Below are 25,734 nucleotides of genomic sequence, written 5' to 3' on the forward strand. Positions count from 1 at the left end.
AGAAAATTTCACAAAGATTTTTTTGAACTTCCTTAAAATATGAATCAGGGGAGGAAGTCAAAAGTAAAAAACAGCTGGAACAAAGAGGCCATTGGGCAAGATGAAAAAGGATTTAGATGAATCAAGAGATTGACTCATAGCTAGAAGGCAACTGCAGAATTAACAACTACATTAAAGGCAGCAAAAGCAGAATTGGGGTGAAAAAAAGCAGAGTGCAGATGTCCTACAATCGCAAGAGATTTTATTAATAATCTAGATTTTAAACCAGATAAATGTAAAAATTAAAGTGGATGGAAGATATGGAGAATGTACTTAATTCTTTATATCTAATAGGTGAAACTGAAAAAAATACAATTATCTATTAGTTCTGAAAGAGATCTATGGTTAAAGAATTAATTTCAGAAACTTAAAGTTATTTAGTGGAATTAAAAAGCTGATTTTCAAAACCCTGGATAATATAAAAACCAACCAAATAAACATAACACACACACACACACACACACACACACACACACACAAAGAATCTAGAGAGTAAAACATAAAACATAGAATAGGAAATAAATTATCCTTACTTAAAGAAATAGGTTCCATGTTCTCATGTTAGGTCGAAAAACATCATCCAACTTCGTACTGTTGAGAAGCAATAGATCTAAAACAAAGTGAAGCAAATGTTTAAATATAAAAGGATAGGTATATAATGATAATATAAAAACAAAGAAGGAATGTAAATATGAGGTAGAATATAAGGAACAAATTAAACAAGATTACGAGGCATTTTATATTGATAAAATAATATTTTGCCAAAAATATATAACTGTCTTGAACCTTTATGAACTAAATAATATTGCTTTAAAATACACAAAACAATTGCTGTTGGAAGTAGAAAGAGAATTCAAACATCAATAATAAAAGTTACTTTGTAACATATAATTGCTATTGTAGAATTTACAATGAATAATTCTGGAATTTATGTATAAAATTTGGTTTGTGAATATAAATAAAAAAACTTTTCCAGCATCCATGAAAACATAATTAAAACTACTTCAAATAGATCAAAAAAAGTAAGCAAATTTTCCAAAAACTAAAAATTAATAAAACAGAAAATTTAAACAATTGTAGAAATTATAAAACACTTCTTTAAATAACTTTTGAGTCTAAATGGAAATAAAAACTGCAAGTACAGATGGAGGAAATAAGCATCATCCCAGAGCCTCATTATACCCTTAATTAGAATGTTCCATTTAGGAATTTATGGAATCTTTTCTCTGCATATCATTAAGAAAATACTAGAACAACTATTCTTAGAATGGATTATGTAAGATTTCTTATAGGCAATGGTTATTCTGAGGTTTCTAAATATATCTTCTTCTTCTTTTTTTTTTTTTTGAGGTGGGGCCTCACTCTGTCTCCCAGGCTGGCGTGCAGTGATGCCACCAGGGCTCTCAACGTCCTGGGCTCAGGCGATCCTCCCACCTCAGCCTCCTGAGTAGTTTGCACTACAGACATGCACCACCACGCTTGGCTAATTTTTACTTTGTATATTTCATAGAGACAGGGTTTCACCATGTTGCCCAGGCTGGTCTCAAATTCCTGCACTCAAGGGATCCTTCTGCCTTGGCCTCTCAAAGTGCTGGGATTACAGGTGTGAGCCACCCTGCCTGGCTGTAAATAGATCTTCTAACTTTATGAGGAGGCAGAGTTGCCCCCTCCCCCAATTAAAAAATTATTTCTTTCAATGTGAAAGCAAAATAAAAAACAAAATTTAATTTCCTAAATAAGCAAGAAAAAAACCAAAAAAACCCAAAAAAAAACCCCAAACAATAAAACAAAATAAAACACCCAATTAAAAAAAAAACCACACACACAACAAACTGAAACAAAATAAGATACCACCACCACCACCAATATCTTTGTGATCTGGCACAGTGCAAGAACATTTTCCAATCCACACCCTGTCCAAGTCTCCAGTATGTCATCATCCCACCACTCTCTGATTATTTCACTCATTTAAATGACCTGTGTGGCTCTGTGCATTTGAGTTTGCAATCCTTGATAAAGGCTAAGAGTTGAAGAACTTAGATTCTTATTATCTTCTTTTGGGTTAACAGCTATTATGCAGGAGTTTGCACTCACTGAGCCTGCTGGTGGCAGGGCTGGGGCAATCACCCCAGGTGCAAAATAAGTTCAGTCGAAGTCTGTATTGGGAAGGCTGCAGCAGGGCTCTGTCAAAATTCTGAGGAAGGATCACTGTCCAATCTTGACTGTGAGAAGAGTTAACTACGTCTTCCTAAAGCAAAATAGAGAAATGGAAAAATGATTAAGGAATGATTGATAGTAGTTGTAGATTTATTAGAATAGTTTAAATAAGATTTCTTATAGGCCATGGCATTCTAAGTTTCTAAATATATTTTCTAGGTCTACTTCATTCCTAAGTGTTTTGCATTCATTCATTTATACTCATCTCATTCCAAAAAGGATTTGAGGCAGTTGGTAAGGTTGTGGCATATTAATAGATGGGGAATGGTCAGCCCCAGGGACAAGCAAAAGAGAAGTTTAAGATCAATAATAAGACTGGCTAAATGTCAGTCTGCTTTTTATTATCACGTGCACTGGCAATTCTAAACAATGTCAGTGATAAAATATTCCTCCTTGCCGAGATAGACCACTTCACTATTTGTTTTAAATACAGAGAATATTTGTATCTATTTAAAATAGGTGTTTGTATTTATTTTAAATTGCATTTCAAAATTGTGTATCATTTCATATAAATTGGAATATAGTTTGTATCAATGCTTCATTTGTGATAAAACTTTATTTCCAGTAAAAAATATATGTGATATGCCTAAAGGATAACTGGTTGGATTTCTATAGAACCCAGCCCATGACTTGCTTAGATACATTAAGCTGTCTTTCTCTTCAGAGCACTGATCAACCATCACCACTAGCCTAGCCCCATTTGTGCAGTTTAAAGTTGAGGAACTAGGAAAAAATAAGATTTTTGGCATGTGCTAGTGTTTCAAACCTGTATTTAAAAAATGTCAGGAAATATCACCCTAATTTCTCTCTTTAAAACAGTTGTCATGTATATCTAGTGATTAGCAGGACTGACGTTGTGCCACATTTAGACTCTTAGTAAACTATTTCTTGGATGAATCTTTTCCTAAAATCGTCCATTTCTATAACTTATCTGTAACTTATATCCATATGCATTTAATCCACTTTAATTTATAACTCAGGCCATTCTAAGTATCTTCTCATTGGTTCTTCTTCATCAGATTAGGATGTTTATGCTCCCTTGTGGTAAGCAAATGTCACCTTCTTCTTCATGAAGTATTTGCTTAGTGTTTCATTTGTGCTCTCTCATTCCATGGGAGGAAGGGGAGGTCTGCAAACTGAAAACCTTTTCACTCTTTGGCTCTTTGGTGTCTTGCCACTTTTCAATTGTTAGGAAGCAGGCCCCGCACAGGCAGGTTAATGTCTTCACTTGACGTGGAAATATTAGCCATCTGCTTATGTGACTTTCTTAAGAAGGTGTTAGGCCCTTGACTGTTCTTTGAGAAAACTAAGATAAAGCAAGTGTATTTTAACAAAATATAGTGCTTTCTGCCCACCATTCTCTTCATTTTGAGTTATGGGCTCCAGTGATACCTTGTTCCTCAAGAAAATTACTCTCCATTACTCAATTTTCAGATCTCTGTCTAAGTGGGTGTCTACCAATTCCTTTTGGCAGTGGTGTGTGCCTGACATGGTGGGATGGTGAGGAGAGACGCCTGTGCAGATTGAAGATGTGGCTCCTGCCAGCTGTAAACCTGCAGAGGTGTATTCTTTTGCTGCAATTCGGTGTTCTTGTAAGTTGGTCTGTCACCATCAGGCTCATGAGGAAAGGGACCCAAGAGAAAACAGAAACCAGCCTGAGCCCTCGAGGGTCTTATGTGTGGCATAGTTTAGGCTAGTGTTACCGGGGGGGTGAAATTGTTTGCTATTGCCCAGACTCAGATGGCAAAGACAAGTGTGGCCCAGATTGAAAGGAGTGCAGGAGGGCTGTGGGCTGTGCCCAGGCTCATCCCTGACAATGCTGCCTGTTGGGTTTATCATACTGGCCACAGGTAAGGCATTTGGGCAGCTGAGCCCAGGTGTTAACCTGTAAGTTGCATAAATTGTTCAAAGGAGCTTTGGAAAGCATCAGACAAAAGTGTTGCAAGGAGAACAACACAACTGAGAAAGGAGATAGACAGGGCTACAATCTCCTGTTTTACAGACTTTCCTGTTCCCTTCCTTACATTTTCAGAGGAAAAAAAGGCACAAAATGCAGTTGTTTTATAGCTTGCAGAGGAGTGACTTTGACAAGTTGTGGAAGGCCCACAGAGGACTGGCACTAGGGGATAGAAAGTCCTAATTGTTAGAAGGAGAAACAGGTCTAAAGGTTTTTAGACACCTCTTTAGGGGGTAATTATGACTATGACTTGGAATATCTAATATGTTCTTGCAGATGTATTCAAATCCACAACAATTTTTCTTTGGTCATCTCTCCTTTCTTTATGCTCATGTCAGAGTCCTTGAAAACTTGGTTCCCTAGTGTTACCACATAGCCATATATTCAGGCAAATGGTCCAATAAGGGTTATATTAAGGTTATTTAACAACTGGCAGTGCAAACACCAACCAGTCAAATGGCACCCTAATGAATCAATACAGAGGCACACAAGTGGCACAGCTGTCTTAGTACATGCTGGCTGAGTGTCAGCCCTGGGATGACAAGGTGATCTGACCTTGGGAACTTCAGAATGTCTTCATGAGCTGTCCCACCTCACTGGAAAACAGGCTTGCTTGCTCTTTCTCTCCTTCACCATGTCTGTCTATTTCTCTCTCACACAAGAGAAATGAGATTTATCAGAACCAGATTAAGGGTCAGGCACACCAAGGCAACAATCTATAAAAAGCACTACAACATCACTGGAATAAAAGAGAAATATTATGCCAGTTAATTAGGGCTTCTTAAAAACCTGGTGAAGTATAAATTTCTCTCTTATTGAAATAAACGGTAACCTGTTTTGATTTCTATCTATTTTGATATGTGTTTCTGTGTGGGGCAAGATTCATGTGCAAATGCAGATTGCACCACCAACTCTGAGACCTGCCAGCTGATGATTGCCTGAAGTCTGGGTCAAGTTCAGCTGAGAAATTGGAAGTAAACAAACTATGGTGTATTGCTCTATCCTAGACTTTGTAACAGTGGTCATAGAATTTAGAGATTCTCAATAGTTTATTACTGGGACGTCACAGGTGGGTACACATGTGCTACAAGATATTGTTCCTTTCAGCCCTCAAGGTGGTTGGGCAGGGCCTGCAGAGGCGGAGCTCCTGAGCAGCCTCATATGGGGCTCCTTGGAGGGCAGCCTGAGTGGAGCAGAGTCTGTGACTGCTCTGTGGTGCCCCTGGGTGACAAGTGTGATGAGCAACAGCCAGCACTTATGACTCTAGGTTGATGTGTTGTGGGAGGTCATGGTGCTCTACCACTCAGAGACTACTTGAGCAGCTGCCTGCGGCAGAGTACATTGATGCTGCCTGTTGTGGACAAGGGTCCTGTGGAGCTATTGGAGAATTTGTGGTTTTGGTGTGTAAGGAGCGGATGGTTGGATGTGGGAGGGGTAGAGGTTGTATATGGTTCCTGTGGGCCCAGCTCCAGGTCCTGTTTCAGAGTTAGTCACTCTCTGTATGTATTTTAGTCTCTCTTTCTCTGTATTAGTTGTCTATTGCTGCTGTAACACATAACCATAAATTTAGTGGCTTTTAAGAACATAGATTTACTATCATACAGTTCTAGAGGTCAGAGTCTGTAATGGGCTTCACTAGACCAAAATCAAGGTATTGGCCAGGTTGCATTCCTTCTGGAGGCTCTAGGGAAGAATCCGTTCCCTTTCCTTTTTTAGCTTTTAGAGGACACTTGTTGGCTCATGGCCCCTTCCTCCAGCATCAAAGCCAATAGCCCACCATCTTCAAGTCTCTCTCTGACTCTGCCCTCTGTTTTTGTTGTTGTATCTTCTCTGCCTGACTCTCCTGCCTACCACTTTTCCTTAGAAGGACCTTTGTAGTGATATTGGGTCTACACAGATAATCAGGATAATCTCCTCAGCTTGAGCTCCTTAATTTAATCACGTCCGTAGGGTCCCTTACCATGTGAAATAACATATTCACAGGTCTCCGGGACTGCAGCAGACATCTTTAGTGGGCTATTATTCCACCTCCTATACATATGATGGCTGCCCTTGTCTGATCTGCAGCTGATTCACCCTGAAGGATGACATTCATGCCCTCTGTTTGAGTGTTATCATTGTTTTGAAATACTTGACGTGAAAAAGTTTATTGGATTATAAATCTATTCTCATCATTAAAAATATTTCATTATGATATTGGCCAATGGGGAAAAAAGAGTGGTTAGATTTCTAAAATACAATTTGAACCATTATAAATTTTTCAAAAGTTATAAAAATGATTAAAACATTTGTATTATCATAATTATGAGAACAAAATTTCTCATTGATGTGACTCACAGACTTAAAGGATCATCATTAAAAACTCTTGATCACAAATTGTGTGCAGCCATTTCAGCTTTAAAATCTGGTATAAGAAAGTTACGGTTGTTAACGTTCATGGAAGCAAACTTGAGTTTCTAATTCTAATTTTAAAAAATGTAAAAATTGCTGGGAAAGTAATATTCAAATTAGATATTTAACATCTTTCTTAATATTTTATATTTAATTTTTTATCATTATAGCATATAAAACAAAAAAAAGTCACGAGGTGTTTTACACCAAGCTCCAAAGAGATATACCCATACCTCCCCCAGATTACCTCAGTGTACTCTACAAATATTATCATTTTCTATGTGTGGATAATGTGAAAAAAAAGTTGGAGAGAATGGATGTGAGTGAGGTCATCCTTTGTGACTGTATAGGACCAACTCATAGAGGTTTTTCTACAAATATTATCATTTTCTATGTGTGGATAATGTGAAAAAAAGTTGGAGAGAATGGATGTGAGTGAGATTATCCTTTGTGACTGTGTAGGACCAACTCATAGCTGTTTTAAAGAAAATACTACAAAATGATAGACAATTTCAATATAAGATTGATTGCTATGTTTAGAACACATGATAGATCCCTTATTTTGACCATAAAGAAAGAAGTCTATAGCTTTTATTCATAGACTATTAGCCTTTCCTCATGCCTGCTAGGGAATGTTGAACAAATTCTTATCACGTGAAGGGGTTTCCAATTATTAGTCTTCTGTGGGTACCCCATGTTTTGGTCTTTCCAAATTATTTCTGAAAGTTTCCTTAGATTCTTTTTCTTTTTTGGAGACAGGGTCTCACTCTGTTGCCCAGGCTGGAGTGCAGTGGTGGGATCATGGCTCACTGCAGCCTCGAACTCCTGGGCTCAAGTGATCCTCCCACCTCAGCCTCCCAAGTATTTGGGACTATAGGTGTGCACCACCATGCCTGGCTAATTTTAAAATTTTCTGTAGAGATGGGGCCTCCCTATGTTGCTCAGGCTGGTCTTGAATTCCTGTGCTCAAACAATGTGTTGGGATTACAGGAGTGAGGCACTGCACCTAGCCCATCTTTGATTGTAAAATAAATCTATAAATTTCAAAGAATTTGAGTCAAAATGCCTGAAGAAATAAATATTTTAGGTCAGGCACGGTGGCTCATGCCTGTAATTCTAACGCTTTGGGAGGCCAAAGCAGGCAGATTGTTTGAGCCCAAAAGTTCAAGACCAGCCTGGGCAATATGGCAAAACTCCATCTCTACCAAAAATATACAAAAGTAGCTGGGTGTGGTAATGTGCACCTACAGTCCTAGCTACTTGGGAGGCTGAGGTGAGAGGATGGCTTGAGCCTGGGAGGTGGAGGTTGCAGTGAGCTGAGACTGTGCCACTGTACTCCAGCCTGGGCAACAGAGCCAGACCCTGTCTCATTTAAAACAAATTTTGTTCTAGTATGGATTGCAGTGGACACATTTATTTTTATTAAGAAAGCCAACAGAAATGACCTCATAAACCCATGTCCTATAATGGGGTCCCTGTTCTAATGTGCATGGAAATGGAGGCAGGGAAGTGGGTGCTGAAAGGCAGTTTCACACAGTCCTGGCCGCATAACATTGGACCTTGGGGCATGAACAGGCACTTCAAAAGAAGGCATACAAGCAGCCAACAGACACATGAAAAAATGCTCAACTTCACTAATCATCAGAGAAATGAAGATAGCCACGGATACCATCTCACACCAGTCAGAATGACTTTTATTAAAAAGTAAAACAAACAAACAAACAAAAACCCAAACAGATATTGGCAGGGATGCAGAGTAAAGAGGACGCTTACACACTGCTTGTGACAATGTAAATTAGTTCAGCCACTGTGGAGAACAATTTGGAGATTTCTTAAAGAACTAAGAGTTGAACTACCATTTGACCCAGCAATCCCATTACTGGGTTTATATCCAAAAGAAAATAGATCTACCAAAAAGACATTTGCATTCACATGCTCATTGCAGCCCTATTCACAATAGCAAAGACATGGAATCAAGTCAAGCACCCATCAGTGGTGGATTGGATAAAGAAAATGTGTTACATATATACCGTGGAATATGATGCAGCCCTAAAAAAGAATGAAATCATGTCCTTTGCAGCAACATGGATAGAGCTGGAGGCCATTATCCTAAGTAAATTAACAAAGAAACAGAAAATCAAGCACTGCATGTTCTCACTTATAAGTGGGAGCTAAAAATTGGGTACACATTGACATAAAGATGGGAACAATAGACACGGGGGAATGTAAGTGTGGCAGGAGGGAAGGGATACATGGTTGAAAAACGACTTATTGGGTACTGTGTTCACTACCTGGATGACAGGTTCAATCGTACTCCAAACCTCAGCATCATAAAATGCACCAGGTAGCAAACCTGCACATGGACCCCCTGAATCTAAAATAAAAGTTTAAAAATAAAATAAAATATCTTTGTAAAACAAAAAAGAACAAACCTTGGTCCTGGAACACTTCCCTACCAAAAGATAAAGAGCTACACGGCCTGCGCTGGGTGTATTGGCTTGTGTGGAAATATCTTTCCCTGTTGCAAGCCCAATGTATGCTCCTTTGTCCTGCTTAGGCAGGTGCATCACATGGCACTGGGCCAACCCCACAGCTGTATGTTTCCTCCACAGGGAGGGGACTAGGTCCGTATACTGTGGCAGGGGTACACATAGCCAATTGCTCTGTGTGGGCTGTCAGGAGAGATCCACTGGCCATGGGATACTGGCACACATTGCTGAAGCAGCTCTTGCCATATCTCTTCTCCGTGTAAGTAAAGTGTTGTTCCATCCAGTGCTTGACTGCGTCCTGTTTTCCTTGGCGACTCCAGCACCATAATGCAATGGGCAAAGTATTAGGACTTCTCTTCCTGGTGGTTGGCATAGTGGTCGTCTTTGCTATTCTCTTGGTCTTAGAAATCCTGCCTTGGGGTTGGTAACCAGTGCGTGGGATTCCTCTCCCCTGGGACTGATAACGGTGAACGACATTCTGCTTAACATGGGGCACAGTGAGAGCCTCTTTGCTCCCCAGGGAACCCTTGGAAGGAGAGGCTGAGAGCAGCTTCGGCAGCACCACATGAGGATAGGTTGTAGGGAAGGAAGGCAGGAGTTTCTTGGGCAACCTGTGGCCTTCGTCTGTTCCGGGCATCTGTCCTCAGGTTGGCCTCTTCCCAAGCCTACCTCTCTCTGCCAGCCCTGTCATTCTCCACCTCCAGGATCGAGAAGCTGGTGGTCCACACAGAGCTTCTGGCGCCATTTCATCCTGTAGATGTGAAGACAAAATTCTGTCCAAGTAGTCTTTCCCTGCTGAAGTTAATGCAAATTTGTTCTCTGCTCTCAATACCTTTTATTCACTGCCTGATGTTGTACCACCTCCCACCCCAGGTCAATGGTTCTGATACCTCTGTTTATGACATAGGGTGACATGCATAATAACTGTACCTCTTTCATTCCCCTCTTCTGATTCAGAAGGTCAGAATCCCCAAGCAGGGGTCACTTTAGTACTTGGTATATATTGATAGTAAGTGCTCAACAAATACCTGTTGAATGAGTGAATGTATAATGAATGAAAAAATGATTTTTATGGAACAGATTAGATTGCATACTAAATGTTTTAGGGAAAATTATCAGGAACAGGAATTTACCAAGGGCAAAATCCTTAGGTCCCGTTTTTCTGATGTGCCCTTTTAAGCTTATATTCCTAGAAGTTAATTATTTATTGAAAAAGTAGTTTATACTCATTACATCTATTTTTTAAAGTTACAGAAAAGTATAAAGAATAAAATAAGAACTGTTTATAATCTCTTGTCTTGGAGATATCACTCCTAGCATTGCTGTATATTTTTCTAGACTTTTTTTCTAGTCACATATGCGAGAGTGTGTGTGTGTGTGTGTGTGTCTGTCTGTCCCCGTGTCACAATAAAGAAATACCTCAGGATGGGTAATTTATAAAGAAAAAAGGTTTAATTGGCTCACAATTCTGCAGGCCATACAGGAAGGATGACGCTGGCATCTGTTTGGGTTCTGGTGAGGCCTCAGGAAGCTTTTACTCACGGCAGAAGGCGACAGGGAGCAATGTCGCATGGTGAGAGTGGGAGCAAGAGAGAGAGCAGGGGAAGGTCCCAGACTCTTTTAAACAACCAAATCTCATGTGAACTAACTGTGCCAGAGCTCACTCATCACCAGGGGGATGGTGCTAACCATTCATGAAGGATCTGCCCCCATGATCCAATCACCCCCCACCAGTCCCCAGCTCCAACATTGGGAATCACATTTCAACATGAGATTTGGAGGGACAAACATCCAAACCATTTCAATATATAGTATATATGCCTTTTACAAAAATAAAACTCTGTGATGTTGCTTTATAAGATGTACAAATCTTATGTTTTGTACATGTTTTTAGCAGTACAAATAAAAGTGTATTTAAATGTTATATTAATGTAGATCAACCATCATCCTTCCTATATATTTAGAGTTTATGTATGTATTCACATACGTGTGTGTGTTTGTGTATATATACACATGTATGCGTGTGTATATATAAATATATATGTATATATGTATGTATATGAAGAATCTTATACGTCAAGATCCCACAACTCTGGCCTCTGGCCAGGCTTCCTTGAGGCATGGGAGTGAGATAGGCTGGGGCATATCTTGGCCTCCCTCCTGTATGGGCCCTTGAGTGGGTTAGTCACTTAACTTGTAGATTGCCAGTTTTTACCTTGCACGTTTTGTCTGCCTTGTAGGACTATTGTAAATTTAAAGGAGATGAGATGCTTTCTACATCTCACTTACAACTCCAGATGCCAATAATGATCATCCAATAATTAAATGTTAATATCCTTCTCCTTTAAACTTTTCTTTTCTTTTTGAGACAGGGTCTTGCTCTGTTACCCAGGCTGGAATGCAGTGGTGTGATCCTGGCTTACTGCAGCTTTGACTTTCCAGGGTCAAGGATCCTCCCATCTCAGCCTCCAGAGTAGCTGAGACTACAGGCTCACATCACCAGGCTTGGCTAATTTTTGTATTTTTTGTGGAGACAAGGTTTCACCATGTTGCCCTGGCTGGTCTTGAACTCCTGAGCTCAAGCGATCTGCCCACCTTGGCCTCCCAAAATGCTGGGATTATAGGTGTAAACTCTTTGTTAAGAAAATGATTCATGCCTCTAAGTTATGCCTCCTGGCTTTTTTTCTTAAATAAAAAAGATCCATTTTATGAACAGATGAACTGAAATTACCATTATTTTGATAGTTATGTCAGAATGTCTCACCACTGCACCTTCACAGTTTGCATGAATTACTGGTGCCACCCAAGGCTAGCTGTCAGGGAGCTCAGTGCGGCAGCAAGGCAGTTTGTCACATCTTTATGTCTTTCTTCTTTCCTACACAGGCACAGGCAGTCAGTTCCAAACACACCATTTTCTAATATGAAGGGCAGCAAACAATAATGGCTAAAAGCAATTTCAGTACCTTATCTCCACTGCCTGATCATGCACCACCTCCCACCCCCAGGTCAATGGTTCTGATTCCTGTTTATGACCATAGGCCGCTAAGGGAGCCCCATCTTCAGCCTTTCTTATTATGTTAAAGGCCTATAGTCCTGCTGGGGCAGAGAAGCCCACCAGAGAATGAATAGTGGCTCAATTTTTCTCAGAAGCCCAGCAGTATGTAATTATTCCAGTAATCCCATAGGCATTCAGATTGAAATCGTCATCATCCATGACAAATAATTATTAAGTCCCACTTTGTGTTTGGTTTCTAGGTATAATGAATGAGGTGGCAGAAAGTTTTTCGGTTAAAAGGACTAAAATCCATTTAATGCCTGGATGGACATCAGAATTAGGTGACAGATGAATCATGTGCCAGTCAAGGCAAGAAATGGTCTTTTCCGAAGTGGATATAAGCACTAAGTTGAGAGTCTCCTGATTGTTCCTTAGACTTTCTAGTTCCCACAACCTTGGGGACTCTGTAGGTGCCTACTGGGTAAGTGCTTGTTAATTTATTGTGTTTAGTATTTTAGAATGATAGAAACTGTTCTCTACTTTGGAAATGAGCAAAATAAGTTTAAATGTTGATAGTGTGTAATGATGTCTACATTCGCAGGTGGGGAAGAATTTAGAGAATTAAAAACAAATGTGTGAGCAGCCTCTTTAGATGAGCAAGGGAGGCTGTTCAGGTGTCCACCTGTGGACAAAGTATAATAATTTGTCCTCAGGCATAGGTGCTTTGGTGTTCTCTGAATGCATCCATGCCTGGTGGGGAGGAAGACTATTACCTAGCTTCAGTTTAGGCATAAATGAGTGAGAACAAAAATGCTTAGGCTTTGGCATAGTTTTGAGAAAAGATCAGTGCCTGTTAAGATTTCTAGACTCTTGGATCCTGGGAGGCAGTGGACAGAGAGTGGTGGAGAGATAACAATGACACTGCTGCCTTCTGTAAATGTCCTCATCTGCAAAATGTCTGGGTTGGACTGTCCAGCTTGAGCTCAGTGCTCCTTTCCTTCCTTGTCCATGGTTACTTCCTCCTTTGGCTCTTTCCCATTTATTTATTCATTTAACATTTACATAGTAAAGAACTGTGGGGCAAGACAGCCCCTGTCCCCCACCCCCCACCCATGTGGCTCCAGGTAGTAGGAGAGACAGATAAATGAGCAGATGGTTGCAGTCTAGTGGGGTAGGTGACATGCAGCCTGAGGACGGCTGGAAAATGCCAGGCAAAGGGCTGTGATAGGAGAACTTGAGGAGGGTGGAGAGGGAGTATCCCAGGAGAGGCCTGGAAGTGAGGGAACAAGCGAGGTATGTGCTATCAGGGGCACAAAGTCCCTCTATTCTCTAACTGGGGGTCTGCAAAAAGCAGGAAAGTGTATTGTGGAGAGCAGTAAAGAGGTCAGGAAAAGGCAGGGCACTGGAGGTTCTTTTCCTTTCTTTTTCTTACTTTTCTTTCTTACTTTGAAACCTCTCCATTTATGTGGACTTCCTCTAGTATGGAAATATGGGGACAAATAAATCCCTGCCCCCATCCATGCCCCCCACCATCTGAGTGCTCTCAGACACGCAGGTCGGGTGGTAGGAGAAGTGATGATGGGCTTCGTTGTCCAGCAGAGCGGTTCTCAAGTGCTCGCAGACATCAGAATCGCCTGGAGAGCTTGCTGAAACACAGACCGCAGACCCTCACCCTTGAGTTGCAGTTTCAGCACATCTGGGGTCAGGCCCCAAAATTTGCATTTCTTACAAGTTCCCAGGGGGTGCGGCTGCTGCTGATGGGTGGTCCTCGCTCTGAGACCTGCCCTAGACCCTCCTTTCTCAACCTGTAGTCCCAGAACCAGCAGCATCAGCATGGCCTGGGGCATGTTAGAAATGCAGCATCTTGGACTTTAACCCAGACCTCCTGAAGCGGAACCTGCACCACAAGCTCCCCGGTGGCTCCCATGCACGCGACAGTCAGAGAACACTGCTCTAGATGTCCAGAGCCTTTAGTCCAGGACTTTGAGATGTTTCCTCCAAGCAAAAAGCCTTCCACGGGCTCCCGCTCAAGTCCTGGGCCTGCGGTGCTGAGACAGGGCAGTGGCGTCTTGGTGCTCAGGCCTTGGGGTTAGGAGGTAGGAGGAAGGAGATCCTGACCATGAGAGAGAGACCTCCGTGGCCACAGCCTGCAGGTGACATGTAGCAGAAACACTTTCTCTCCTTGGTGCATTCCCACAGCCTGTGAGGGGCTCAACAGCACTGCTGAGCCACATCCTCCCAAGTACACAGAGAGGCAGAGGGCTGGACCCCAGTCTGGAGGGAGATCCCACAGCACCACGCTAGAGAGTCCTGCCAGCTTAGGTCCTCCCTGTCTGTCTGGCCCTCTCAGAAATATGCAGTGTTGGATCTAAAACATATAAAGAATGTTTATAGATCAAAAATAAGAAGACAACCCAATAAGAAAATGGGCAAAAGGTTTGAATAAACATGACAGAGAAGATATATCAAATGCCAATAAGCCCATGAAAATATGCTCAACATCACTAGTTAGTAAGCAAACGTGAATAGAGCCATAGTGGGATACCCCCACACTACACCCATTAGAATGGTAAACAAATAAAACAGCAGAACAAAATGCTGATCATAACAAGCATTGGAGAGGGTATTGGGCAGCTGGAACTCTCACATAGTGCTAGTGGAAATGTCAAATGGTACAATCACTTCCAGTTTGTCAGTTTCTTAAAAAGTTAAATGTATATTTACCGTACGAAATAGCCCTTCCATTCCTCAGTATTTATGCAAGGAAATGAAAACATGTGTACAGAAAAATGTGTACACAAATATTCACATCAGTTTTTCTGGATAATAGCTCCAAACTGAAATGAATGTCCAGAACAGGAGCATGGATAAACTAGAAGAAAAAAGCTAGAAAATAAAATGCAGGACTGATATGCACAATGTGGATGAATCTCAAAATTATTAGGCTGAGTGAAAGATCCAGAATAACAGTCCATACTCTATGACTTCATTTATCTAAACTCTAGGAAATGGGAAGCAATCTATAGGGCTAGAAAGTGGCTAAGAGACTGATTGCCTGATGAAGGGGTGGAGGGAGGGACGGGGCAAAGGGGTACCAGGACATTTTGCAGGGCAGTGGAAATGTTTGTTATCTTGATTGTGGTGGTGCTTTTACAGTACTGTACATGTGTCAAACTGATCACATTGTGCACTCTAATATGCACAGTTTAGTGTACTTCCATCATACTCCAATAAAGTCGAGGGCTGTGTGCCCCATTTCAGTGTTGGGAAAAACAAGAGTGGGTGATGAACTGGCCACCCTGGGGGTATCTGATGTTCAGAGGCCAAACAGAACCTTGGGCGTAGGAAGAGGTCTCAGCAGCGTAAAAACACCCAAAAGCTTAATGAGAAGGCTACAGTCAGAATCTGTGTGTCTGTTGACCGTGTCAGGACCCTGAATAGATTCAGGTAATTTACCAGACCTTTACTGGCCTTGTGCTGGCTTCAGAGATGGATAACAAGAGCAAGACATATATAAGAATTATTAGGCTGGGTGCAGTGACTCACGTCTGTAATCTCAGCACTTTGAGAGGCGGAGGCAAGTGGATTACTTGAGGCCAGGAGTTAGAGACCAGCCTGGTCAACATGGCGTTTCTACTAAAAATGCAAAAATTAGCCAGGTGTGGTGGCACACACCTGTAATCTCAGCTACTCAGAAGGCTGAGGCATGAGAATTGCTTCAGCCTGGGAGATGGAGGCTGCAGTGAGCTGAGATTGCATCACTGCATTCCAGCCTGGGTGACAGAGTGAGACTGTCTCAAAAATAAATAAATAAATAAATAAATAATTAAATGGAGAAATAGAGAGAAACAGAGACATGTAGAAAAACGATGAAAGGGCAGGCATTAATTGTTGGCTGGTGTGGGGACACAGAGCATTTGTGCAAGAGATAGAGAGAGTGGGAGCGCTCTGCCTGCCCCCTGCATCCTCAGCAGGAAGTGAGGGTGAGCACAGAACCTCCTTCATTTGCTGCCCGGAGCTGCCATTGTTTAGTAGTGTTGTATCAACTTGGTTATTTATGCCTCTACCTCAGTTTTCTTACCTGTAAAATGGGGATAATACCTATCCCCTAGAGTTATAAAATTTTCCATTAATAAGCGTTATTTTTTAGAGCAGTTGTGGGTTTGTGAAGAAATTTTGCAGAAAGTACAATTTCTCATATACCCCTTCTCTCCCTTTCCTATTTCATAGTTCCTCTGGGTTTCGACAAACGCATGTCATGTATTCATCATCACAGTATCATACAGAACAGTTTCACCGCTCTAAAAATCCCCCATGCTCCATCTCTTCATTCCTCCCTTCCTTCCTCCCCAACTCCTGGCAACCACTGATCTTTTTACTGTCTCTATAGTTTTGTCTTTTCCAGAATGGCATATAGTTGGAATCACAGTAGGTAGCCTTTTTAGACTGGCTTCTTTCACTTAGAATATGCATTTAAAATTCCTCTATGTCTTTTCATTGCTTGAAAGCTCATTTCTGAATAACACTTCATTATAAATATGGACCAGTTTGCTTATCCACTAATCTACCAAAGGGTGTCTTGGTTACTTCTGGTTTTTTGACAATTATGAATAAAGGTACTATAAACATTTGTGTGGAGGTTTTTGTGTCGATATAAGTTTTCAATTCATGGGGGTAAATACCCTAGGAACTCAATTGCTGGAAAGTACAAGCCTATTTTAGCTTTGTAAGAAACTATCAAACTGTCTTCCCAAGTGGCTGTGCCATTTTGCATCCCCACTAGCAATGAATAAGAATGCCTGTTGTTCCACATCCTCACCAGCATTTGGTGTTGTCTGTGTTTTGGATCTCAGCCATCTGTAGGGTTTCCATAAGCACTGAATAAAATGATGAATGTAAATCTCTGATCACAGGCCCTGGTACAGAGGCGTTGCTCGGTATCCAGCAGCTGTTGTTACTATCTTTGATACCTTTCCTCCTTTGCCCGTGCCCTTCCTCCTCTTCTTGGCCTGCTTTAATCCTCTCTTTTATTTAAGGCACAGTTTTCAGTTTTTAATCTTTGAAAACTCTTTCTCCTCCTCTCTGCCAGCCTCTTCCCCTGAACTCCTTGTCACTTCTAATTAGACTTGTGACATGCATGGTTCAATAATCACTTGCAGTATTAGGATTCTACAGAGAAACAGACCTATAGGAGGTTATCTACTATCTATCTATCTATCTATCTATCTATCTATCTATCTATCTATCTATCTATCATCTATCTATCTATCTATCTATCTATCATCTATCTATCTATCTATCATCTATCTATCATCTATCTATCTATCTATCATCTATTATTATTTCTCTGTCTGTCTATTATCTATCTATCTAGAAATATTTGTTTTAAGGAATTGGCTGCTCACATGGTGATGAGACTGGCAGGTCTAAAATCTGCAGTTTGGGCTGCAGACCCAGGGGAGACCTAGGGGAGAGCAGATATGCGGTTCAAGTCTGAAGGCTATCTGATGGCAGAATTTCTTCTTGCTCAGGGGAGATCGATCTTTTGTTGTATTCAGGCCTTCAACTGACTGGATGAGGCCCACCCACATTATGGAGGGTTACTGCTTTTCTAAGAGCCCACCAATCGAAATATTAATCTCATCAAAAACACCCTTACAAAAACATCCAGAATAATGTTTGACCGAATATGTGGGCATTGTGGCCCAGCTAAATCACATAAAATCGACCATCGCAAGTATGTGGATAGTGTTTTGACATTAAATTAGGAGCAAGAACCTTGTTCTGAACTTTTTCCATCCCAGCCAGCTCTAGCACTGAGGCAGATTCTAAACGGGCATGATAAATATTGGCTGAAAGAATGCTTGAGGGAAAGAGTCCTTTAGTTACCTGGTTTCAGATGTAGTATGCGGGGGTGATAAGGTGACTGCCATAATACCAGAGTGATCATTTACATTAAGGTATTCTTGCTTGAAGGAATTCACCACAGAGGATAATTTTGAATTATGTGAAAAATTTACAGAAATTTTAAAGATAGTGGTATTTCCAAATGAATTAGGGAGGCAAATTATTAACCTTTGTGATTTTGACTACCTGCCTCCTCTCCTTTTATTCCTTCTTCACTATGGAGGGATATAAAATAAGAATGAACTGAAACTATACTTGCAGGTGTCCAAGGTTTCTATGGAGACAGATCTTTGTAATTATTACTTTGTGGGTTGTTAGGAACTCACCTGTGAGGTACAGTGAGTGGAAAGTTCTGAGAGTCTGTGGCTCAGCCATCGTGACTATGTAACCAGTATTGGTCGGTGGCCCAAGGTCTCTCTCCTTTCAGGGTTCAACCTCCAACCTTATTTCTGCTTCCTTCATGTTGGAATTCACACTGTGAGGTAAATACACCATAGTACAGCTAAAGAAATAAACAAGCAAAGGCCAAGGGGATCATAATACACAGGGTGGTCACCATGGTCAGGCGATATTAGCTCACAAGGACAAAAGAACAGAGGCATTTGGATAAATCCAGCCATCAGGAGCAACAACTGCTGTAAATATTGTTGAATCACACACTTTCAGAACTGCAAAGGTTTTTGAGGGAATAAGGTATAGCTGGAAGGAACACAAGATTGAAAGTCAGAAATTCTGGGTTCAGAACTTCAATCTGCCATACTTATGTGCAATCTTAGCTGATCCAAGTGGCCTCTCTGAATTTCAGCATGTTCATTTCTATATTTGGGAAATGAGATTTTATAATTGTATTTTATCTTCATGGTCTGTTGGAGCAATTGAATGAGCTACCATTTGTGAAGGCTCTATGCCAATATTATTATTGAGCTACACTCTTTCATTTTACTAGTGGGGAAGCTGAGATTCAGAGAGGTTAAGCGATTTTTTCAAGGTAGGACATTGATGCTGTAAAGCTTTGTCTTTTCTTTCAGTGCCTTGTTGTTGACTCATGGATGTTGAGAATCGCTAACATTCACTGAGCCACAAACCGTGCTAAATGCTTTATGTGTATTTTTTCCTCAGCAAAACCTTATGAATTTGGTACTTGTATCAGTTTCTTTCTACTGCATAATAAACCCCCATGTCGAGTGGTTTAAAACAATGCCCATTTATCAACTTACACTTCTGTAGCTTAGAAGTCTGGGCATGGCATGACTGAGTCCTCTGCTCAGGCTCTGATGAGGCTGAAATCAAGGTGTTAGCCAAGCTGTGTTTCTTTCTTGGGGTTTTGGAGAGAATCCACTTTGAAGCTCATTCAGATTGTTGGTTGAATTTAGTTCCTTGCAGTTATAGGGGTAAGATTTCCATTTCCTTGTTGGCTGTCAGCTCGGTCTTGGAGGCCTCCCATACTTCTTGCCACTTGGCCCCTGTAGGCAGTTAACAACCTGGTCATTTCTACTTCTTTCAGGCCAGCAGGAGTTCATCACTCTGGCTTTTTTTTCTCTGTGTCTGGTTGAAAATGCTCTGCTTTGAAGGAGCTCACCTGATTAGGTCAGACCCACCCAGACAATCTCCCTTTCTTAAAGTCAATCAGTGCCATATAACGTAACCTAATCAAGGGGGTGAAATCTATCATATTTACAGTCCTGGAAATTATACACTAGGGAGTATGCATCTTGGGGCCATCTTAGAATTCTACCTACCTTGGCACTATTATTAACATGTCCATTTTACAGGTGAAGAAACTGAGAACAGAAAAGGTTAAGTAAACTGCCTGAGGCCACACAGTAGTAAGTGAAAGAGCCAGGAATCAAAACTAGGACTGGCTTCTTCCAGAATCCATGCTCTTAGGCCCTCTGTTATGCTACCTCTTGCTGCTGCCAAGACCCATGGGGCTCTTGAGAAGACCCTGTTCTTCTGATCAGGAGGGAATGATAGTGCTCGGTCTGACAAATAAATCTCTGTTGGAGATGGCCATTTACCCATAGTCACCAAAGTTTACCCAGCGGCAATGTGGGCCATGAATACGTTTCTTCTGGTTACTATGCTGCCTTAGGCCAGCAAAAACATTCTGGGGCCCTTAAGTGATGCATGAATCCAATTTCAGGAAACCTGGTGGGCTACTGCAAGAGCTGATTATGTCAAATGTCCTTTTCAATGTCTCTAAAGAGGTGTCTTGCAGGTGCTAGTCTGTTTTGCTTCCACCCAGGTAAAGCACATGCACCCCTTTGTACGCAGTTCTCTCTCTTTTTCTCCCCCACCCTTTTGAAAGAGGCATCATGTGTGAGGACAGCAGGTGTCTGGACACAGTCATAGCACCACCTATAGATGCAGAGGGGAGACGCCCAAGTGGAGCCCATGCTTCATGATGCCCCCCATCATGTAGCCACACGCCTGCCATCTCCTCCTTCATGGTGTCTGCGCCTCCCTTCTGATGAGGTGGATCTGGACCCAAATGCTGGGGCTTGGGGGATGTGGGAGGCTGGCCAAGGAGTGTTTTATTTCTGCAAGGTGTTTCCCTTACTGCTTAGAGGTGAAATAAGCAGGGAAGATATCATGCTTGCATTTTATAGCCCTTGCTGTTGACCACTGGAAGAGATTTTGGGTTTGAATGAAATATTCACAATCACCTACACATTGGCTTTAGTATTCATCTCCATAGATATAATCCTTTAAAAACACAACTTAAATTCCTTGGCTTGAATTCCTAAGCTTCTGTACAGAAATCAGGAAGAGAGAATTTTCTTTGGTTGGAACTCATTGCTGATTAGGGACATGGTATTTGTGTAAGGGTGGGGAGGAGTGGGATTCTTCCATGGAGGCAGGTTCTGGAACCCTCAAAGCAGCACATTCGCAAGCCCGACGTATAATTTGGAGCTTCCATGTATGCTCTTGACATCTTTCCAAACGAGGTCTGGTAAACTTCTCCAGGATGTTCTTCCTTATTCCTTGAAAGGTGGTTGATATAGTTTGGCTGCCTCTTCACCCAAATCTCATCTTTAATTTTAATGCTCATAATCCTTATGTGTCGAATGAGGGAACTAGTGGCAGGTGATTAGATCATGGGGGCAGTTCCCCCATGCTGTTCTCCTGATAGTGAGTGAGTTCTCATGAGATCTGACGGCGTTATAAGGCAGTTTTCCCTGCTCTTGCTTGCTCTCTCTCAACTTCCGCCACGTAAGACGTGCCTACTTCACCTTCTGCCATGATTGTAAGTTTCCTGAGGTCTCCCCAGCCACGCAGAACTCTGAGTCAATTAAACCTCCTTTCTTTATAAATTACCCAGTCTCAGGTATGTCTTTAAAGCAGTGTGAACAAGACTAATACAGTGGTCTCAGGAAGATGAGGAGAAAAGACAGGAACTCTGTTAGCATAGTAATACTTTGTGCTTTTGTGGCAAGCATGGTAAATAGTAACAAGAGGAACATTTATTTGATTTGTTTGCTGGGGAGGCTCAAAAGAACCAACTAGTCCCTCTGGCTTCATTGAGGGGGTCCACTCGGGAGGCATCAGGAGATTGGTTAAAAACACTGAGGGGGCTGGGCACGGTGGCTTACACCTGTAATCCCAGCACTTTGGGAGGCCGAGGTGGGTAGATCACCTGTGGTCAGGAGTTCATGACCAGCCTGGGCAGCACGGCAAAACTCTGTCTCTACAAAAATGTTAAAATTAGCCTGGCATGGTGGCGCATGCCTGTAGTCCCAGCTACTCCAGAGGCTGAGGCATGAGAATCGCTTGAACTCTGGAGGTGGAGGTTGCAATGAGCTGAGATCTCACCACTGCACTCCAGCCTGGGTGACACAGAGAGACTCCATCTCAAACAAACAAACAAACAAACAAGCAAAAAACATAAAAAGGTGGGGGGTTGGGTAATGGGGAGAAAATGGAAGGAAGAACAAAGCAAATGTAAGGAAGAAAGATGTGGCCTGTGTGTGAACTGGCAGGCAAGGCAAGGGGAAAAGGGACAAACTCCTGTGAGTTGTCCTTTGACTCCATGTGAATGTGAGACCACCAAACAGTAAGTGATGGACTGTGGTATCTTGCCCTTGCAGGGGTTATCTGTATAATCTGACTCTTGCCTCCTTATACTTCTCTGAGCTCCTCTATTGGATTATAGGAGTTTCTTGAACAAATACATGAAATAATCTTGAACATTACACACCTTTGTTATTCTCAAAGGCATCATGTGTTCCATATGACCTTGACCTTGGTGGCAGGGGCAGAAAAGCTCCACACTCAGCCTTCCATGCTCTCTTCTCTTCCCTGGGGGCTTGAAATCTGCAAACCACCCTCCCTTCCTGTTAGGTCTGCCAGTGCTCCCACAGTGGAGGGCATTCACTGGGAGCAGGTGGGGAGACTTAGGGAGGCCGCTGGCAGCAGTGAGTGGCTAAGGGCGGCCGTGGGCAACTGCATCATGGCGGCTTTGGTGGCACCAGCGGGCCTGTAGGCTCCTTGGTTCCCCATGGGCAGCAGCAGTGCCTTCTCCAGCAGGAGCGCCACGTGCAAGTTCTTGTCCACAGGCAGCAGCCGCTTGCAGACGGTTGGGTAACCCCCTTCGCCTTGGTGCTCCTATGCCCAAACCAAATCTTTTCTTTCTCGTATGTTCTTCCAGGCCTTCTACCACTTCTATAACTAAGCGTCTGTTTACATCCTTTTCTCATCAAAATATCCCCAGGGGTTTCATTTTCCTGAGCGAACACCGAACACCGACCCAGCCAGCAATCTTGCCCAAGTCTAAGATCATTCCCAAAGGGGGCCCAGACTTGCCTGTTTGTGTTCTCTTAGCTTTCAGGTTCAGTGTGACAGCTTTGTGGAGCCTCGCACCTATGGTTAAGAATTGTTAACATCATTGTCTTTTTTTTTTTTTAAAGGCAACCAACCAGGGGACTGATGGACATATCAATATACTGTAGTGACTAAAGCTAGGGAAGAAATTATAGGACAATGTACAGTGATAGAAATTTGAAGCTGAACTCCTCTTGACAGCCTCTGCCCTTCTACTCATCAGGATGTTAGCTGTTACACAAGCTTTGTCAAAAGGTGACAGAATTGTCAGTCAATGTTATGTGATGAACTTGGGCTGACACTGGTTGCTCTACTGATTTTTCTTAAGCTATACCACAGCAGGTCCTCAGATAATGTCATTTCATTCAGCATCATTTTGTTATAACATTGATGAGAAAAAAAATTGCTTCCCAGCTGGGGCCATTGTCTATGTGGAGTTTGCATGGTCCCCCATGTCTGTGTGGGTTTTCTCTGTGTACTCTGGTTTCTTCCCACATCATGAAGATGTGTGCATTAGGTGCATCGGCATGTCTAAATAATCTCATCTGGAGTGAGTGTGGGTGTGTGTCAGTGCACCCTGTGATGGGATGATGTCCTGGCCAGGGCTGGTTCCAATCTTGCAGCCTGAGCTGTTAGGATAGGTTCTGACCACCCGTAACCCTGAAGTGGTATAAGTGGGTGAATAATTATCTTACTCGTTTTTATTAATATTTTTTTGGATGGAGTTTCACTCTTGTCACCCAGGCTGAAGTGCAGTGGCACGATCTTGGCTCACTGCAACCTCCACTTCCCGGGTTCAAGCAATTCTCCTGCCAGCCTCCCGAGTACTGGGACTACAGGTGCACACCACCACGCCCGGCTAATTTTTGTATGTTTGGTAGAGACAGGGTTTCACCACGTTGGCCAGGCTGGTCTCAAACTCCTGACTTCAAGTGATCCGCCTGCCTCGGCCTCCCAAAGTGCTGGGATTACAGGCATGAGCCACCGCTCCCGGCCTATTAATATTTCTTAAATGGATGTATAGCTCACATTTATTTCAATGTTTAACACTGGAAATGTTTTGGTCTTTGTTTAGAAGTTTGGTGACGTTTTTGCAACCAGAAATATGCCATAGGAATTTAACTCTTGTCTATACCAAATAGCCAATGGAAAGTTGTTATCTTTTTTTTTCTTTTTTCTTTTTGGTGCTGGTTGTTTTTGTTTTGTTTTGTTTTGTTTAGAGACGAGGTCTCGGTCTGTGGCCCAGGCTGGACTGCAGTGGCATGATCATAACGCACTGTAACCTCAAACTTTTGGGCTTCAGCAATCCTCTCGTCTCAGCCTCCCAAGTGGCTGGGAGGACAGGCATGTGCCACCATGCCTAGCTGATTAATTTTTTTTTGGTAGAAGTAGGGTCTTGCTATATTGCCCAGGCTGGTCTTGAACTCCTGTTCCCAAGCCATCCTCCTGTGTTGGCCTCCCAAACCACTAGGGTTATAGGCAAGATTGGTTTTATTTTAAGTTGCAGTTTCCAAGAACCCACTGATGACGTTAATTGAGGACTTACTACATATTTCACAAAGGGGATGGGTGATATGAATATGATTTACTTTTAGAGAATGAAGCAGGGCATGAGTGATTAAGTGATATTTTTCACATACATATTTATTTATGTATATTATTTTGAATATATGTTTCAGGTGAGATGATTTTAATTATGAGTAAGAATAATGGCATAAAGACCTCCAAAGGACTTAAGCAAAAAGAGGATTTATTGGGCTCACATGATGAGAAGTCCAGAGATGGGTAGGCATCAGTGCTGGCTTAATCCAGGGGCTCTTGCCCCATTTTCCTAAGATGTTCTTGGCTCTGCTGGCTTCTTCTTCCTGGGCTTGTAGCAATGTCTAGAGAAAGAGTTCAAGGGTTGTTTCTTCAAGCTTGAGAAGCCCTCAGAAAATCTTTTCTCATGTCTCCTAGGTCCAAGTTCAGTCATATGCTCATCTGGAACCAATTACTGGGAAGGCATTGGAATGGCATTACCTTTGGAACATTCTGGAACTGGGAATGAGATTAGTTTTCCCATATGGGCTGCATGGAGGAGGATGTTTCCCTGAAGGAAATAAGGGTTTGGTTGGGGAAAAAGAAGATAAAAAGGGGAACCTGGATAATTAAGGCTGCGGAAGAGCAAAGTCCCTTTGCTCTTCTGACTCCAAAAAGCTCCCATATTATCTATGTAACTGATGGCTTATAATTTTTATTCATTCAACAAACATTTATTGAGCCGTTAAATATGTGCTGAGTACAATGCCAAATGCTAGAGATACAAAGAATAATGAAAATATTGTCTTATTCCCTCGGGGATTTTACAGTCTAGTGGAGGAGACATATCGGTGAAAAGATTATTATGAAAAATATATGAGACAGTTGTTGGATAGAGATAAAGTGAAGTGTTATGAAAACTCAGAGGAAGAAGCAACTAAATCCATGGGTAAGGGGGCTGAGGAGCAGAGGTCTGGGAAGATGGGGGAGGCCATTCCAGTCAGAGGGAACAGCATGTGCAAGGGCACAGAGGCATGGAAGAGGGTGGAATGTTCCAAAAAATAGGACTACCTGTGTGAGCATGACACAAGGTGAGCATGTGGGGAATGGTGAGAGATGAACCCTAGGATCCAGGTTATAAAGAGACTTGGACTTCATCCTGTACATGATGGGGAGGGGAAACTTAGCAGGTAGGGGGCCACAGAATAGGACTAGAAAGCGTGTTGTGGTTTCGGTGTGGACAATGAATTGTGGGAGGTAAGCCTGAAAGCAGGGAGATTATTTCAATGTCCAAGTGAGAAATAAGAGGCAGTGAGAAGCTGAACTGAGGGACAGAGGGACTGGAGCAGAGGGGACAAATCCAAGGGAAATTTAATGGGAAGAACCAGCTGGTTCTGGTA

At 42.1% G+C, this 25,734-nt stretch overlaps 2 long non-coding RNA genes across 5 annotated transcripts in view; one reads left to right on the plus strand and one right to left on the minus strand.

The window, feature by feature from the left end:
* Positions 1 to 587: 587 nt before the first annotated feature.
* Positions 588 to 18,020, minus strand: LOC105379004 (uncharacterized). Its single transcript, XR_948385.3, has 3 exons — positions 17,978 to 18,020; positions 2,134 to 2,287; positions 588 to 649 (listed from the first exon to the last, which is right to left on the minus strand). It is a non-coding gene; the product is annotated as an uncharacterized LOC105379004 (long non-coding RNA).
* LOC124900988 (uncharacterized) overlaps positions 12,353 to 25,734 on the plus strand; it is a 34,365-nt gene continuing 20,983 nt past the window's right edge. For 3 of the 4 annotated variants that reach the window (XR_007058791.1, XR_007058793.1, XR_007058790.1), the window contains exon 1: positions 18,187 to 18,477. This is a non-coding gene — a long non-coding RNA (uncharacterized LOC124900988). Of the gene's footprint in view, positions 12,570 to 18,186; positions 18,478 to 25,734 lie in introns of those variants that run through there. The other variant, XR_007058792.1, reaches the window with a different exon arrangement.

The sequence above is a fragment of the Homo sapiens genome, chromosome 5 (assembly GCF_000001405.40).
Source record: "Homo sapiens chromosome 5, GRCh38.p14 Primary Assembly".
Lineage (NCBI taxonomy): Eukaryota > Metazoa > Chordata > Mammalia > Primates > Hominidae > Homo > Homo sapiens.